The 17,982-nt window shown below is 44.1% G+C and overlaps 1 long non-coding RNA gene across 1 annotated transcript, besides 1 other annotated feature; it reads right to left on the bottom strand.

Annotated features, from left to right (window-relative positions):
* Positions 1–559: 559 nt before the first annotated feature.
* LOC105370886 (uncharacterized) lies at positions 560–17,364 on the bottom strand. The gene is made up of 5 exons (XR_932439.2): positions 16,700–17,364; positions 16,388–16,484; positions 15,286–15,378; positions 3,731–3,899; positions 560–2,288 (listed from the first exon to the last, which is right to left on the bottom strand). It is a non-coding gene; the product is annotated as an uncharacterized LOC105370886 (long non-coding RNA).
* Positions 9,492–10,107: an enhancer, noted in NCBI's record as "OCT4-NANOG-H3K4me1 hESC enhancer chr15:71377897-71378512 (GRCh37/hg19 assembly coordinates)". NCBI's record gives its function as "activates a minimal SCP1, AML or CMV promoter by ChIP-STARR-seq in naive and primed H9 embryonic stem cells {active_cell/tissue: H9 hESC(naive and primed)}" and the evidence as "EXISTENCE:reporter gene assay evidence [ECO:0000049][PMID:30033119]".
* Positions 17,365–17,982: the final 618 nt, after the last annotated feature.

The raw sequence follows: 17,982 nt of genomic DNA on the forward strand, positions 1-17,982 counted from the left end.
CCCAGCACTTTGGGAGGCCAATGTGAGAGGATTGCTTGAGTCCAGGAGTTTCAGACAAACCTAAGCAAAATAGCAAGACCCTGTCTCTACAAAAATAAAAATAAAAATTAGCCAGGCATGGTGGTGTGTGCCTATAATCCCAGCTACTGGGAGGGCTGAGGTGAGAGGATCACTTGAGCCCAAGAGGTCAAGCCTTTGGTGAGCTATGATTGCACCACTACACTCCAGCCTGGGTGACAGAGCAAGACTCTATCTTAAAATTAAAAAAACAAAAAATCCTTCCCAGAAAGAAAACTCCAGGCTCAGATGGCATCACTAGTAAATTCTATCAAATATTTCAGAAAGAAATAATATTAATTCTACACAAACTCTTCCAGAAAATTGAAGAGGAGAAAATACTTCCTAACTCATGCTTTAAGTTCAATGCTAGTCTAATACCAATACCAAACATGTTATAAGAAAGAAAATTTCAGTCCAAAATCTCTCATGAACATTGCTACAGTTTGAATGTGTCCCCCAAAAGTTCATGTGTTAGAAACTTAATCCCCAGTGCAACGGTGTTGGGAGGTGGGGCTTATTAAGAGGGGATTGGATCATGAGGGTGAAGCCCTCATGAATGGATTAATGTAGTTATTATGGGTAAGTTATCACAAGAGTGGGCAGATATAAAAGTGGGTCCAGCACCTGGTGCCTCTGTCTGTCTCACATGCTCTCTTGCCCTTCTGCCAAGTTATGATGCAGCAAGAAGGCCCTCACCAGATGTGGGTAGCATGCTATAGAACTTCCCAGCCTCCAGAACTGTGAGCGAAATAAGCCTCTTTTCTTTATAAATTATCCAGTCTATGATATTCTGTTATAGCAACACAAAACAGACCAAGACAAATGCTCCGCAGTGAGCAGGTATAAGTAAACCTGCCCGCAAAGGCTGAGGGAGATGAGAGGCTGAATAAAACAGCTGAAAAATCCAGTTTCTTAAAAAGAAATATTTAATAGGAGCTTATGAACAGGAGAGATGTCTTGGGTGGCCATTAGGCAGTGGATCTCTGCACTCACCTTTTAGAAAATATCTGTTATATTACAAGTTTTTTGGTAAAATATGTGGTAGCTAGTCACATCTGTGTTTCTTGTTAAACTCAAGACTACTGGGGAGGTTAGATAAGCATCTTTATGAGGGGTTATCTAAGCTATGAGCATTGTTTAAAGACCTTGCTGCAGACCACCTTGGCATGCAAGAGTCAAACAACAGTCATCATGGGAGTTTCAATTCAAGATGGCGCCACTCTTGCCATGTAATTGGCTATTTTCCTACGACAAGCATAGACACAAAACTTCTTAGCAGTATTTTAGTGAATCAAATCCAATGATACATAAGAAGACAATAGGTCACGACCAAGTGGATTTCATCCCAGGAATGTAAAGTTGGCCTAACATTTGAAAGATCAATCAATGTAACTCACCATGGTAAGAACTAGAAAATAAACATTAAATTATCTGAATAAATACAGAAAAGATACTTGTGCCACCCTTCCCAGCTTCCCCTGTGTCCCACACACATGGGAAGAATATCAGGGAACAGAATCTATAAGAGCCTTGGGAGGGACAAGAATCATTCCTCCATGTAGACACCCAGGTTGCTTCTGGGCTTGTGCTTCTGGACTGGCTCTACCATCACTGCGTGGACAGGGAGGGCTTCCTATTGCCTTGATAGGAACATCCCAGGCCTGCTCTGTGTGATGGGCCACTTGCAGCCTGGTCCATCAGTTTTATCCCCCATTTAAGGCTACTGGTTTCCTCAACTGAGCTGAGACAATAGGATTTCCGGTGGCCAGATACTTCAGCCAACCCTCACTGCCCTGGTTAATGAGACTGACACCACCCCCGCCCCCCGACCACCAGTATCAAAGAGCTGCCTCTCACCCTGATGGTGGTTAAGTGTTCATTTTAGGGCTCTGCACTGGCAGGTGAAGAGTGTTGACCATTCAACCATGCACCCTTGTCAATCCATTCAATCCATGCCATCCTGGATTGATTACAAAAGTGAGTTTATGTTTTATTTTCTATGTATTCTGCCTAATGCCAATAGCTTCTTGCTTTTACTCTCAAATCACCCATAATTTTTCACAGAATAATCTCCATATTTTACCATTTCCACAGCACCCTCTAGCCAAAGTTTATTGTTAACATGGCTCTTCCGTGAGAAGAAGGAGCCTGCTGGTAAGATTACCTGAAAAGGACTGCCGTGTTGCATCAGTGGAAGCACTTTTCGACTTTATACAGGTAATTCTTGGCTAAAATAAAATGATATTAAAAAAAAAGAAAAATACATAGTACACTTGTTGCTCTCCCCTGCTTAGCCCTAATGCAGGCATTCCTAATCCATAGCCCTGTACCTTTCCTCTGACTCACGGCTTCACAACCCTTCTCAGTACCGTACCCCAGACAGGTACCACCAATCAGAGTTGATGTGAAACCTGTTTGCCTTTCCTGATCTTACCCATTGGCTCTGCAAACGGGTTTTGATTTTGCTTTTCTAGCTCTGAACTTTGTGCCTTTTCCAAAGTGATTCTAGGGATCAGCCTTCCAGTTTCCTACACAACAGCCTAAGGCATCTACAACTCCCAAACCAGTCCATGCCTCATTGCCATGGAGCCTGCTTCGGCCACATGCAGTGCCTGCTCAACAGAGGCAGGGATGTGCATAGCTGTTGTGTGCAGGAGCTGATTTATTAAGAAGTCCAACTGGCCAGAGCCCCCAAGAGAAACTCTCTTTGGGAACAGTGGGTGCTGTTGACTGCTTGCACGTGTCATTGCTTCAGAGGTCTTTAGTCTTTTCTGTCTGAACACCCTCAAAGTGGGGAAGTGACCTCTGATCATTGGATACTTTCCTAAGGGGAGTAGCAACAGTCTACAGGTATTCCTCCTGTGGTTATTCTGACAGTGGTAGGCTTAAACCCGGTAGAGAGGTCTTGCATTCTATCTGGTGGAGTGTGTGGCACAGAAACAGTTACGAAAACAAAAGCTTTTACCCTACTCTCCCACCCATCAGAAAGAGCACTGACTTTTAAAAAATATTTCCCCTTGCAAATCCTCAGTCTCAGAAGCAGGGCATTCGATTATGTTGTCAACACAAATAGATCTCATAAAATTCAAAGTTAAAGTCACTTCTGACAGTTTCTTAGCCTATAAAATGAGGGGGTTAGATCAGATAATCTCTAAAGGTCTTTCCGTCTTTCACAGCTTGTGACTTTATGGCTTTAGTCAACAGTATAAAACAAGGGCAAACGGCAAAAAAAAAAAAAAAAAAACAAGAAGCCTTAAAACTTAGCACAGGCTCTGGAGAATCTACAGGTATTTCAAAAAGACAGTTGACTTGAAATGTAGGAAGCCCAAATGAATTCTGAAATAGAGTAGAACCGTGAGAACGTGCTTGTAAAATGTGTCACCACCCACTGCCTTCCAACTGGCTCTGGGGCCTTTCCAGCACTGGGTGGTATCTGACTGATAAGTATCATTCTTTGTTAATGTAACCATGGTTTGTCATGTTTGCCAAAGGCTGGAAGAAAATTGAGCCAAGAGCTGGAAGCCAGAAGTTCCCCATGCCTGCCCTACACATCCAGGCTCTGAGTTTTTACTTTTTCTACTATATTGCCATGCAAGTAACTTTAACTTTGCTTCTCTGTTCTCTGTCACTGAGAAATACCATGTCTCCATGGCAATAGGAATGCATTTACCTTCACCAAACCTGCTCAAATCCTTGCTGAACAGGACGTAGCAGGAGTTGACTTTCCAATGGTGGAGGTTCAGAGTACAGCCTGTAGCCACAGAGAAAAGTTGCTTGTTCCTGAAATGCAGACACACCTCCAATCCAGAGAGCAAGTCATCTCGTGGAGGAAGTGGTAGCTGTAAAAATTCAAATGGAAAAGGCATAGGTAAGAGACAAATTTTCTGAAAAGTTTGCCTTAAGTTTGGCACAGAATTTGGGACCATTGCTTTGGCAATCAATGACACTCAGAGGGGAACAGAAGCCTCCAGGATGGGTGAGGTGGCTCATGGAAAACAAGTGTGTGCAGGGCGGAGAGGAGAGGACCAGGACAGAAGGCAAGGGGTTGAGGGGGTTGCCGTTCTGGGTCTGTTCCTAACAGGCATGCTTTTTCCAGTCTTTTCATGCCCTCATAAACCTTCACTTGGGCTGGTGGAGTGTTGCATTTCTTCATTTAGTCATTGAGTCATCCATTCCTCACTTACTTACCAGCTCATTCATTCAGAAAGCCTTTATTCCACACCTACCATGTGCCAAATAATTGTATTCAGCACCAGTTCACTCGGATGAATAGGGCATGGTCCCTGCCCACCAGGCTCACAGCCTGGGTTGAAGAGGTAGATGACTAAACAGGCGCATGCAATTCAACATAGTACGTGCCTCTTTGGAGTAAGCACGGATGTGGTGGGAGCACAGTAGAGGGGCAGCGAAGCCCACCTCGGGGAGGAGGTACAGTGGGGTTTTGAAAGGAGGGCCTCCCTTAAGGCTGCTGAAAGATGTGGTGTTATTTTTTATTTTTTACTTTTTTGTAAGAGACAGGATCTCATTGTATTGCCCAGGCTGGAGTGCAGTGACTATTCACAGGCATGATCACGGCTCACTGCAGCCTCAAACTCCTGGCCTCAAGTGATCCTCTTGCCTCAGCCCCACAAGTGGCTGGGACTCTGGCAAGTGTAGTGCTATTTAGTGGGTAAAGAGGGGGATAGGAAAGAGTCAAAGGGTATTCTAAGTTCAGGGGCAGCTTTCACAATGACTCAGAGACAAGGAAGAACATGTAGGGCTTGGAAGTCTGTAAGTGGTTCAGACAGCTCAGCTGATGAACTAACCCCACACACATCATGGTGGGCGTCACTGAAGCATTTACTGGGCAGCTCCTGTGAAGAAATCAGCTTGCTTGAGCTAAACATGTGAAATGAGTTCATTTGGCTTGACCATATTTAACTCCATGTGGCTGGGTTAAATGAAATGTTTCATCCTTTGGAAGGAATGCAAAGTTTTTGGGGTTTTGTTTGTTTTTGAGAAGGGTTTTGCTCTGTCGTCAGGCTAGAGTACAGTGGAGTAATCATAGCTAAGTGCAGCCTCCAACTTCTGGCTCAAGCCATACTCCTGCCTCAGCCTCCTGAGTAGCTGGGACTACAGGTATGTGCCACCATAACCACCTAATTTTTTTAAATTATTTTTTGTAGAGACGAAGTCTTGCTTTGTTGCCCATGCTGGTCTCAAATTCCTGGGCTCAAGTGATCCTTCTACTTAGGGATCCCAAAGAGCTGGGATCACAGGCGTGAGCCACCGCACCTGACCACACAAAGAGTTTTGAACCAGGAAGGAACCTGGAGAAATTATGCAGCAGTGGACAAGGTGGGTGGCCTACTGAAAAGACTGAAGAGACCCTCAAGAGAATCTGGTAGCCATCAGAGTCAGAGACATTTAGAATGGCACAAACACAGCAGGAAGGGAAGCAGTGATTCTATCAGGCACCAGGAGAAATATGATACACAGGTTACCCCATGTCATTCTCACAATAACCTAATGGAAGTTGGCATTATTAAACCCACTTTACAGATGAGGCACCAGAGGTTTGGAGTTTGTTGAAGCCACTTGCTCTGAAGCATTTTGAAAACTTTGTCCTGGTTCTTGTGACTTGAGCAGAGACTGAGCTGCCTCATCACACCACCGGGTTCCTCAGGAGGAAGATCCGTGGCAGAGGAGATGGCATCTGGTTAGAGGCTAGTGGCACAGGAGGAGCATGGGCCAGAACAGCTCCCATGAGCTGGAAGATGTGACAAGTACTAGTATCAATATCAAGAGCAGGGAGGTTGGGAGTGGTTGTGGATTTTAGCAGATACATCCACTCCTTCATTCATTCTATTTATTTAATAAAAGGTTCTGCTGGAGACTCATCAGCAAAAACAAACAAGCAAACAAAAAAGAGACAAGTATTTGTACCCTCATGGAACTTACATTCTAGTGAAGGAGGGGAGCAGGAAATAAGCAAGACAGTCAATTTCCTCTATAATAGGTTAGATGGGGAAAAGTAGCAAGGTGAGAAATAAAGGAAGGAAGGGAATTTTTTTTTTAATTTCAAGATGGTTGCAGTTTTAGATGGAGCGACCAAGAAAGTGGCATTCAAGTAAAGACCTGAAGCAAGTGAGGGAGTGAGCTGTGAAGACATCTGGTTGGGAGAGTATTTTTGGAGGAGAGAATCACATGTCCCAGGGCCTGGAGATGAGAGAACTAGCATGGAGCCCATGTGGCTGTAGCGGAGCTTAACAGGGCTCTCTAGGAAGAGAAGAGGCCAGAGTTAACACAGAGTTAACACAGGGCTAGACCACTTGAGGCCTTGAAGGCCATCGTAAGGACTTGGGGTTCCCTTCTAGGTAAGACTGGAAGTCTTTTGAAGGCTTTGAGCAGAGATTGCCCTCTGACTTTCATGTTAACAATATGGGTCTGATGACTGTGTTGAGAATCCATGGTCCAAGGGGGCAAGGGCAGAGCAGGAAGGTGAAGCAGGAAGCCCGTGGAATAAGCCAGGTGAGAGATGACGAGGGTTTGGACCAGGCGGGAACAGGGGAGGGGGTGAGAAATGGTCAGGTCCCGATGTATTTGGAGGGTGGAGCAGCAGGATCTGCTGACAGATTGGATGTGTGGTGTGAGAGAGAGAAGTCAAGGATGACTTCAAGGTTTTGGCCTGAGGAACTGGAAATGCCTTTCACTGAGGGGGAAATAAAGAAATAAGCAGGTGTGGGAGGAAAATGAGGACCTCAGGTTTTATTCTGTTAAGCTTGAGGCAGAAATGTAGGAGGAGCATGAAGAAAGGACAGTTCCACAGAGGCCAACGGCAGGAGGAATGGATCAGATGCCACGGAAGGGTCAGGGAGACGTGCGTGGAGGGAAGGTCATTGGACTTGGCAGGCAAAATGGTCATGAGCTCACAGAAGAGGCACATGGTGTGCTTTGTGAATTTCTCCCTAGTCCTACACTCTCCTTCATTAAGCACAGGATTCTTTCGGCCAGTTTCTTCTTTCTATTCCCCTCCCCAGCTCTTTTTAGACCAGGGCTGGCCTGTACCCATCCACTCCTCTAATGCTGGCTTCAAAGCCTGTTTAATTTAATGGTCACTCCAGGGATCTCTTGGAAACCGATGGGAGGGTACCCTGTCCCTCGTATGGTATTTTTATGTTCATTTTTATTGGGCATTTATTTTTCCTGCTAAAAATATCTCATGCCTTTCTGGGGGCAGGGGAGGGGGGAAGTGGAGCGGAAAAATTATTTCAGCATCTCGCTTACAAATCTGCTTGGTGGAGCTGGAGTCTGTGGGTTGAGCACTGGTTTTCCATGCCCATTTCTGGATGTGCTCACTAAGATATTCCAGCCCAGGCCCTTCCTGTTTTAGTGAAAGGAAAGCAGTGAGGTCCCACCCACTCGTCTTAGAAGCTCCCTCCGGATGGCCTGGCCAGTTTCCATTCCAGTAGATGGCACGAAACTGAGTTCATGAAGTACAGAAAGTCTGAACATCTGTTTCTATGGGTCTACATGATGTCATTTGTCCTGAAACACCCCCAGCCCCTCACACACAGACAGTCCAGATCCTACACTTGGAAAAAAAAAACAAACAGAAGGGGAATTCCTACTGAGGTAATGATCTGAGTGTGGAGGGGCTCCCAATTTGGCCTTTATGAATGGACTGATTGAGCTAGGTAGACAGAAAGGGGTAATCTCCCCCTCGCCGCTTCTCTAACGCCGTCCTTTGAAAAAAGAAAATAAACTGGGCAAAGTCATCACTGTGTGAAATGGGGCTGAGGATTAGGATTTCCACAGGTCCAAGAGCAATCAAGTCATTACCATTGAGTAGATTCGAGGTTGACTTCAGGGTGGTTCAATTTGTATATCACAGAATATTTGAACAACTGTCTAAAGAAAAGGTCACTGTGCCCCAGCCTGAGCTGGGTTGACAATTTGCTTCTGAAGGGCAAAAGTAAGACAATAATGTCTCAACTGTAGAAGGAGGTGGGGGAGCAAGGACAGAAGATGGAGCAGAGTAGAGATGCCTTTAAATAACTCAGAGGGAAGGGCTCTTTTCTGAGCTTCACTGTGCTCAGCCTCCAGGGGAGTCCTCTGAAGCACTTCTTCAGAGCTGTGACCTCCTCTGGGTCTGGGAACCAGGGGTGAGGCCATGCTGATCAATTCTGGCTTGGGGAAAGGTGAGAAAGAGACAGTTTGTGAATAACATTTAGCACCCCAAATCAGGTGGATGGCTTGAAAGCTCGAACTAAGGATACAAGGAAGTGGTAGAAAGGAGGGGTGGGATTGAGGTGGGTTTTGCCAACTTGGAACACTAGAATATTTATTTATTTATTTATTTATTTATTTATTTATTTATTTATTTATTTATTTTTAGACACAGGGTCTTGCTCTGTCACCCAGGCTGGAGTTTAGTGGTGCAATCATAGCTCACTGCAGCCTCGAACTCCAAGGCTTAAGTGATCCTCCAGCCTCAGCCTCCTGAGTAACTAGGAATACAGGCATGCACCACCACACTTGGCTAATTGGAGCACTAGAATCTTGTTGGCAGTAGCACATGGGCTCCTCTTGGTGGAAAAAAAAATATATCCACATCAATATTTGGAGGAAGGCTTTGTCTTGGGACTTTAAGAAGATAGCAAAGGATTTGTTCATGCTTGAACCTATGCTTGTGAGTGAGAACTTTATAGTGTTACTATATGGATAACATGAGTTTAATTGTATACACCTGTGCAGGAAACAGTCACCATGGCTGCCTGAGACTGCTCTCCTTAGAAAGGTCTGCTTGGAAAGTTGGCCCCTGGTGGGCATCTGGGAGCTTGGCCAGTGAATAATTCCCCACATTGATAGAAAACTTCTATCAGTGATAAGCGTGGCTCATTGGACTTACACCATTTGTACAAACAAAATGGTTTGTGCTGAATGCCTGCCTTCCTTCTGAGAGCCTGGAGTTTTGTTACATGCTAGGCAGCAGGTGCCTACATGACAAAACCCCAGTATAAAATCTTAAGCACTGAGTCTCTAATGAGCTGTCCTGACAGACAATACTTCACATGTGTAGTTAGAATTTGTTGCTAGAGGAACTAAGTGTGTCCTGTGTGAATTTACTAGGAGCAGACTCTTGAGAGCTTGCACCTGGCTTTCTCTGGACTTCTCCCCATGTGCCTGTTCCCTTTGCTCATGAAACAATTGCTTTGTATCCTTTTGCTGTAATCAATCTTAGCTGTGAGCATGGCTATATGTGGAATCCTGTGAGTCCTCCTAGCAAATCACTGAGCCTGGTGGTGGTCTTGGGGACCCTTGATACAACTAAATCACCCATATTCTAGGGCAGAGTTCTAAAATTAATGACCTGATTCCTGTTTACTAAAGAATTTGTAAAAAGGCTTTAACCAGGTGGGGTGAAAAGGGGGTGTTGACTTCAGTCTGGATAGTTCTGTTAACCTTGTGCTTGGTGCTCTTGTCCCATGCCCCATCTCATGAAGCAATTGCAGGACCCTCGCTCCTGGGTGCACACCGTTCTCAGTCTCAACCTACCTATCATGGAAGCAGAGGCAGAGCAGAGACAAGAGAAGAGTGTTTTGATCTATCTGTGGTAGAGGCTGGGGACTCCACGGGTGTTTTCATTTCCCCTCCTAAGCCAGTGGGAGGGCGATTGAACAGCTGGCCTCTGCTACAGTTCAGGATTGACTCCCTTAGCAAGGCTTTCCTAAGTGTGCCTTTCTGCTTGAGTTCTTTCTAGATTCCAAGCAGACATAGTTCTACCTGGTTTCCACAGAGTCTTTCTTTAGATATGCTAATGTAATCAATTAACTAACGCAGAGCCTTGCTGTGTCCTGTGAGCCTCCATTTCTGTAAGGTCTGTAACCTGCTGTGTTAATTGTGCTCTCAAGGCAACTTGATCCACGTCCTGGGGGCACTCCTCACTTGTGGTCCCTTCCCCAAGCTGCAATTACCACCTTGTATGCAGAATTGCTTTGAAGCATGGTATTCTTTCTGGACCATCCCACAGAGAAAAGCAAGATTTTAGCTTGTATGTGCTGCCCGGGGTCTCAGAAATCAACTTGCTATGTACCCAGTTCTGGGTTCCCAGACAGCCACTGTGATGTGAAGGCTTCCTGGCAGGGTGGGTCTATTTCTTCACCCTCACCCCCTTCTGCAGACATAGCAGACATCAATGGGGAGATGAGAAGAAGGCAGAGGAGTTGTGCTAAGAGGAGGACATTCTTGAAAATCTGAAAGATTTCATTATCTTATAGAACTTTGGCTTTTAGAGCTGCTTTTCTAAATTTCCTCCTCTACCTTCCTGTGTCTGCAGCCCCCATTTACTCATCTTTAAATGAAAGCAGGACATGGTTCTGACAGCCCCCATAGAAGGCCAAAGAGATGTGAGACTCCTGAGTGGGGAGCTAAGGGGAGTGAGGGAGCAGGAGTATCCAGGTGAGCACAGGAAGTGGTGAGGGTAGGAAAGAAAGAGTGTCCATGGGTGACACAGCTCCCAGGGGACAAGGGAAGGGTATGTGAAATTCCCAAGGGCTTTTCAGAACAAAGTCTTATCATCCTACTGTGCGGTGGAGTTAGATCAAGGGACTCCTTATGCTTTTTGGCCCAATGTGGGCCTTTGTGGGTTGTTATAGGTGGGTTGTTATAAGTAGCTTCAGGTCCAAAGTGAGAAACTAGTCAACATACTCTCCTGCCTCTGTGTGACTGATAGGCAGAGAGTAAGACTCTTGAGTAATGTACTGACCATTCTTCCAACATTACAAGCATAGCAGGAAAATCCCACAATTCCCACTGCAGGAAGTGCTAGATCACCAGGGGAATATACTAAAACTCCAGACTTCCAAGATGGAAGCCTCCACTCATTGTTAACTTCAAAAGTCTTTTTATCAAATTCTTTGAAATGAATGAAAACAATCTTCCAAAATCTCTGGGACGAGGCAAAAGCAGTTGTTAAGAGGGAAGTTTATAGCACTGAATGCCTACATCAAGAAAATAGAAAGATCTCAAATTAATGATCTAACATTACATTACACATAAATGAACTAGAAAAACAAAGAACAAGCTAATCTCAAAACTAGCAGAAGAAAAGAAATAACTAAAATAGAACAGAACTAAACAAAATTAAGACCCATCCTAAAACATACAAAGGATCCACAAAATGAAGAGTTGGTTTTTTGAAAAGAAAGAAAGAAAGAGAGAGAGAAAGACAGAAAGAAAGAAAGAAAGAAAGAAAGAAAGAAAGAAAGAAAGAAAGAAAGAAAGAAAGAAAGCAAAAAGAAAGACCCAAATGAGCACAATCAGAAATGACAAAGGTGACATTACAAATGATCCCACAGAAATACTAAAGATCCTGAGAGACTATTAGGAACGCCTATATGCACACAAACTAGAAAACCTAGAGAAAATGGATAAATTCCTGGAAGCACACAACCTGCCAAGATTGAATCAGGAAGAAAATGAAACTCTGAACAGACCATTAATATGTTCTGAAATTGAATCAGTAATAAAAAACCTACCAACCCATAAAAGTACTGGGCTAGACAGATTCATAGCCAAATTCTACCAGACATACAAAGAAGAACTGGTACCAGTCCTACTGAAACTATCCTGAAAGACTGAGGAGGAAGGATTCTACCCTAACTCATTCTAGGAAACCAGTATTATCCTGATACCAAAATCTGACAAAGACACAGTGAAAAAAGAAAACTACAGGCCAATATCCCTGACGAACATAGACATGAAAATCCTCAACAAAATCCTAGAAAACCAAACCCAGCAGCATATCAAAAACTATTTCACCACAATCAGTAAGCTTTATTCCTGGGATACAAGGTTGGTTCAGCATACGGAAATCAATAAATGGATTCACCACCTAAGCAGAATTAACAAAAACCATGTGACCATTTCAGTAGATGTAGAAAAAGCTTTAGGCGAAATCCAATATCCCTTCGTGATAAAAACCCTCAACAAACTAGGAATTGAAGGAACATATCTAAAAATAATAAGAGTCATTTATGATAAACCCACAGCCAACATCATACTGAATGTACAAAAGCTGGAAACATTCCCCTTGAGAAATGAAAAAAAGACAAGGATGCCCATTCTTACTTCTATACAACATAGTAGTGGAAGTCCTGGCCAGAGCAATCAGGCAAGAGAAAGAAATAAAAGGCATTCAGATAGGAATAGAGGAAGTCAAACTGTCTTCATTCACAGGCAATATAATTTTATACCTGGAAAACCCCATAGACTCCACCAGAAGGTCTAGAACTAATAAACAACTTCAGTAAACTTTCAGGTTGCAAAATCAATATGCAAATACCAGCAGCATTTCTATACACCAGTAACATTAAAATTGAGAGCCCAATCAAGAATATAATCCCATTTATAATAGCCACCCACCAAAATAAAATAACTAGAAATACATCTAACCAAGGAAGTGAAGGTTGTCTATGATGGGAATCACAAAACACTGCTGAAAGAAACCATAAACAACACAAACAAATGAAAAATATCCCATGCTCATGGATTAGAAGAATCAATATTGTTAAAATGGCCATAGTGCCCAAAGCAATCTACAAATTCAATGCTATTTATATCAAATTACCAATGTCATTTTTTTAACAGAATTACAAAAAACTATTTCAAAATTCATATGGAACCAAAAAAGAGCCTGAAAAGTCAAAGCAATCCTAAACAAAAAGAACAAAGCCAGAGACATCACATTACCTGACTTCAAACTATACTACAAGGCTACAGTAGCCAAAACAGCATGGTACAGGTACAGAAACAGACACATAGATCAATGAAACAAAATACAGAACCCAGAAACAAAGCCACACACCTACAACAAACTGATCTTTGACAGTTGACAAAAATAAGCAATGGGGAAAAGGGAACAGGGAAATAGGAGAAAGAGGATAAGCAATAGCGAAAACTACCTATTCAATAAATGGTGCTGGGATAGCTAGCTAGCCATACGCAGAAGAATGAAACTGGACCCCTACCTATCACCATATACGCAAATTAACTCAGGGTGGATTAAAGCTTTAAATGTAAGACCTCAAGCTTTGAAATCCTAGAAGAAAACCTAGGAAATACCCTTCCATAGACACTGGGGACTCCAAAAGGAGGAGAGAGGGAGGAGAACAAGGGCTGAAAATCTTCCTGTTAGGTACTCTGTTCACTATCTGGGTGATAGGATCAATACAAACCGAAACCCCAGCATCACGCAACAGACCCTTGTAACAAACCTGCACATGTACCCCCTGATTCTAAAATTTAAATTTTAAAAAATCTTTTTATTAGCAGTATTTGGGGGTTCAGGCCTCAGACTTCAGGAAGAAGCCAATGAGAGAACATGATGTGAAGAGGGTCTCCTTTTCTCTCTGGGAGATCTGCTCTCCATCTTTAACAACTGTGAGCTGCAGGCCCTGTTGTTCTTTGTGCTGCCACTCCTTGACTGAGCTTCTGGAGTGGTGGGGGAAGCCACTGAATATTGACTAAGACACGACCACTTCCTTCAGGGAACTTGCCGCCTAAGAAATGGTCATGTCATTGAACAGACACAGAGTCAATGGACCCGTCCCAGTTCTCAGTAGTGAAGCATCCCATCAGGACAGGGTTCCCGCCTTCAGACCGATCTTCTTAGGACAGTCCCAATACTGTCTGTGGAGGTTGTAATTCCTTCCTCAGGATAATGGTTTTCTGCACCATCTGTAAATATCTTTTAAGCAGATCTTCAACAAATGATTTTAGTTTCTCATAATTCCAGTCAATCCAACGTTTATTGAAGGCATGCACAGATGGAAGAGAATGTGTTCTCTGACCTCCTGTCCCTGCTTTTACTCCCCTGGGATTGGCTGTGAACCCCAAATCATTGCTTGGCAGGCAGCACAAAACCTTCAGCTCCAGAAGAGCCATTTAATAGGTGCTTAAGATGAATTTTTGGAAATTTTTAAGAGGAAAGCAATTTCCCTAAGCATTCAGGAATGTTTCTTGTGGCTGTATTTTTATCCTCTGCATTTCTTCCTGCTGCAAGGGATGGCCTGCCACAGCCTTGGTCCAGGGCATCTGCCACCTGTACACAGGGCCCTAGCCCTCTTTCCTATTCAAGGACTTGACATCTTTCTCTCGTATCATTGATTTTCCTATTTCTTGTGGTTCATCCCATTGGCATACTAACATGCGATAACATCCTATATTAAATTAAACAACTAACAGATCAATAAATCTCTTTTCAACCTCCAATTCCTCTTTCATCTATTACTGTATTTTGTACTCTTTATAGCAAGTACTCATAAACCACTTTATTTATGAGAATAAAGTATTCTCATTGCATGGCTTTCATATTTCCTGCACCCACTTCCTAGAATGCTGTCCCCAGGATCCTCGCGTCCTCACTTCTTTAGATCTCTGCTCAAACACTTATTATTAGCTGTGTTTGTCTTCTTTTTCATTGCAATAAAGAAATACCTGAGGCTGGGTAATTTATTAAGAAAAGAGGTTTAATTGGCTCTCAGTTCTGCAGGCTGGACAGGAAGCATGGTGCTGGGATCTGCTCCTGGTGAGGGCCTCAGGAAGCGTCCAATCATGGTGGAAGGCACAGGGAGAGCAGGTGCGTCACATGGTGAGATGTGGGGGCAAGAAGAGAGAAGAGGGAGGTCCCAGACTCTTAAACAAGCAGATCTCACGTGAACTAACTGAGGGAGAACTCACTCGTCACTAGGGGGATTCTTAGACAGTCATGAGAAATCTGCCTCCATGATCCAGTCACCTCCCAACAGGTCCCACCTCCAACATGGGGGATTACATTTCAACATGAGATTCACAGGGGACACACATCCAAACCGTATTATTACCTGAAATGATAATGGTTAGTTATCAACTTATTTTCTTGTTTATTGTCTGTCTTTAAGACAATAGAATCTAAATTTTATGACAAATTAGATTGAATCTATCTCAATTCATTGGTGTATCACTGGTGCCTGAAACAGGGCCTGGCACACAGAAAATACTCAATAAATATTTGTAGAATGAGTGAGAATATTAGCCAGAATTTATTTAGTGTTCATGCTGTGTCAGATACTGTGATACAAGAATTATCTCATTGAACTCTCACAGCAGTTCTATAACACGTTTAATATTATTTCACCCAGTTTTACAGATGAGGAAAATTCAGCATAAAAAGATGAAGTAATGACCAGGTGTAGGGGCTCTCACCTGTAATTCCTGCACTTTGGGAGGCCAAGGCAGGAGGATGGCTAGAGGTCAGGACTTTGAGGCCAGCCTGGGCAACATAAGGAAACTCTGCCTCTATAAAAAAAAAAAAAAAAATTAATTAGCTGGGCACAGCAGTCTGTGCATGTAGTCCCAGCTACTTGGGAGGCTGAACTGGGAGGATTACTTGAGCCCAGGACTTCAAGACTGCAATGAGCTATGGTTGCACCACTGCACTCTAGCCTGGGTGACAGAGTGAGATCCTGTCTCTAAAAATAAATAGATAAATACATAGATGGTGAAGTAATTTGCCTAAGTTTATATGGTTAACAAGGTATGGAACTAGACCTTGACCCCAGTTTGGTCTCACTCCAAAACTCCTGCTCATAATCACAGGATTATACCGCCCCCAATGACAGCAGCCTACCAGTGAAAGTCCCAGTGACATCAGTTTAAGATTCCCTGCTAATGAATGCTGCATGAGGCACCATAAGTGCTCCTTTCACTGTGTAACAGCACTGAACTAGCCTTCAATTCTCCCACACTCTACTCCATAAATGGGTACCTATTGCAAGTGGAGTGGTTGGACAGGAGGGTGCTGGAGTATGAGTGGAAGGGGGGAGAAGCACTCTATCCTAGAAGCCCAAATTTCTAATCTTCCAGGTTTCAGCTTTGATGTAGGGCAGACGCCACATGTTTTCCAGATGTCTTAATTCTCCACCTTCACTTTCCTCTGCCTTCTCCCTCTCCTTTTCTGGAAGTTGGGGGAACTCTCTTTTGAAGGCATTTTGGTCCCCCAACCTCATGCCCTGGGCATGCCCTAGAGGTTGCCCGCAAACAGTTCCTCAGGCCAGGGGTGCAGGTAAGTTAAGGCTGTCGGAGTGAGCCTCTACCGCGAGGGACAGGAGTTGGTGAATAAAACCCCCTGCTCCACCCCTCTCAGCGGCGCCACTCTGAGGGTGGTTGCACAGTTTCCTAGAGGGTCCTTAGGGGGACTGAGGCCCTGTTGCCCACGAAAGTAACCCTCCCAAGAACACACTGTGTATGGAGTCTCCTTCCTTCCCAGCCTCACCCCCTTGCTGTTTCCCATGCTTCCTGAGCTCACCTCCCAAGTAAGTGATAGGTCCTGGATTCCTCATCTCAGGATCTGCCTTTGGGGAAACCTGACCTGAGGTGGACTTCTTCTCCTAAATCTGCATCACCTGTGGAAACAAACCATATCCAGGAGTCACATCCCAAGAACCAGACCATCTTCCCCCAAACATAGGTTAAATTACATCTCAGTAAGCTGGAAGGGCACAGCTTCGGCCATAATTTCATTCAGTGTCCTCAATCATTCTGCAATAGATACTAGTTAGGTAGGGTCAGCTCACTTCACACACACAAAAACTGAGGCTCAGGGAGGTGAATTAAGTACCTGGCTATCAAGACTCCAGGTGAGCGGCCATTCATCCTCAAGGGTTTGCGTAAGAATTCAATAAGCTCTTTTCTGTAATGCACCTAGCAGAGAGCTAAGCATGCAGTGGGTGTTCAATCCATGTAAGTTCTCTTTCCTCTTTTGACTTTTATTATTCCACTAAATGGTCTAAAAATTATGTTGTCGCTGGAGTTGGGCCCATATTTCATAAACAGAAAGATAGATGCAACTCCAGCCATTCCTTCTCCTAGGTGAATAGGTGCACATGGTTCAGGAATGTCCCACTGGAGTCATCCCTCTTCTTTTCACAGGTGCTGTTTATAAACCAGCCCAGCTTTGGCTCAGGACAAGCCACCCATCTCCAGGGGCTGGCGTGTGTGCCTCTGCTGACCGCAGCTGCTGACCTGTCTCCTGTACACTCTGGATGCTGTGATGCCCAGACAGCAAAACTTCTTTTCAGGCTCCCCAAGAAGGCAGGGACCCCAGTTCTCTCAAGAGCTAACATTAGAGCAAATCAGTCTCAAGAGGGAGTCCCAGAATCAAGAGGAAATATGGGCTTGCTCCTTGATCCTGGAGTAGAGCACATCTTCCCTGCCTGCATGGCCATGCTGTGAATCTGCAGCTCAGAAGTTGGTCTCCCTAATGCCACACTCTGGAACCATGTCAGCCACATGATTGTGGCTTCCCGAGGCCACGGCGTGTGCACTCTGCCTGTTCATGTTGTGTTTTCCTGGTGACTCCTTCCTTTGCTATTCAGTAATAAGGCTGATCTGCCATAGCAACGCCCACAGCCAATGGCACCTGCACAGTGCGTTCCTTCTCTACTCCACAATATTTCCTTAAAGAAACACACACCTGGAAATTGAATTTCTGGAATGATTCCCAGATGCTTTCCAGAGGAAGCCTGGCGACGTGGGCAAATAGCCCTTTATTTTCCACCACGGGAACAAATATTTCTGATCTTTCTTTAGTGTTGGGGCTGCATGCAATAAATACTCAGGTGACACTTTTCTGGGTGGCAGTGGTGAGTGATGGGAATGAGGCTAAATAAATACTTGTCAGTTTGTGTCATTTCCACCAGCACTGAGAGGGTGACTGTTTCAGTATCCAAGCGGAAATTGTGGACTCAGGGCAAAAAGACAGAGATGAAAATTCAGTAGTTATCTTCAGAGGGAAAGAATTTTAAGCTGTGGGGATGGATAAAATCTCTATGGAAGGGAAAAAAAGAGAGACAGACAGATGAAAGGAGATGGGGCCTTTGATCATATAATTCATTGCCCAAA

The sequence above is a fragment of the Homo sapiens genome, chromosome 15 (genome assembly GCF_000001405.40).
Source record: "Homo sapiens chromosome 15, GRCh38.p14 Primary Assembly".
NCBI classification, from domain to species: Eukaryota; Metazoa; Chordata; class Mammalia; order Primates; family Hominidae; genus Homo; species Homo sapiens.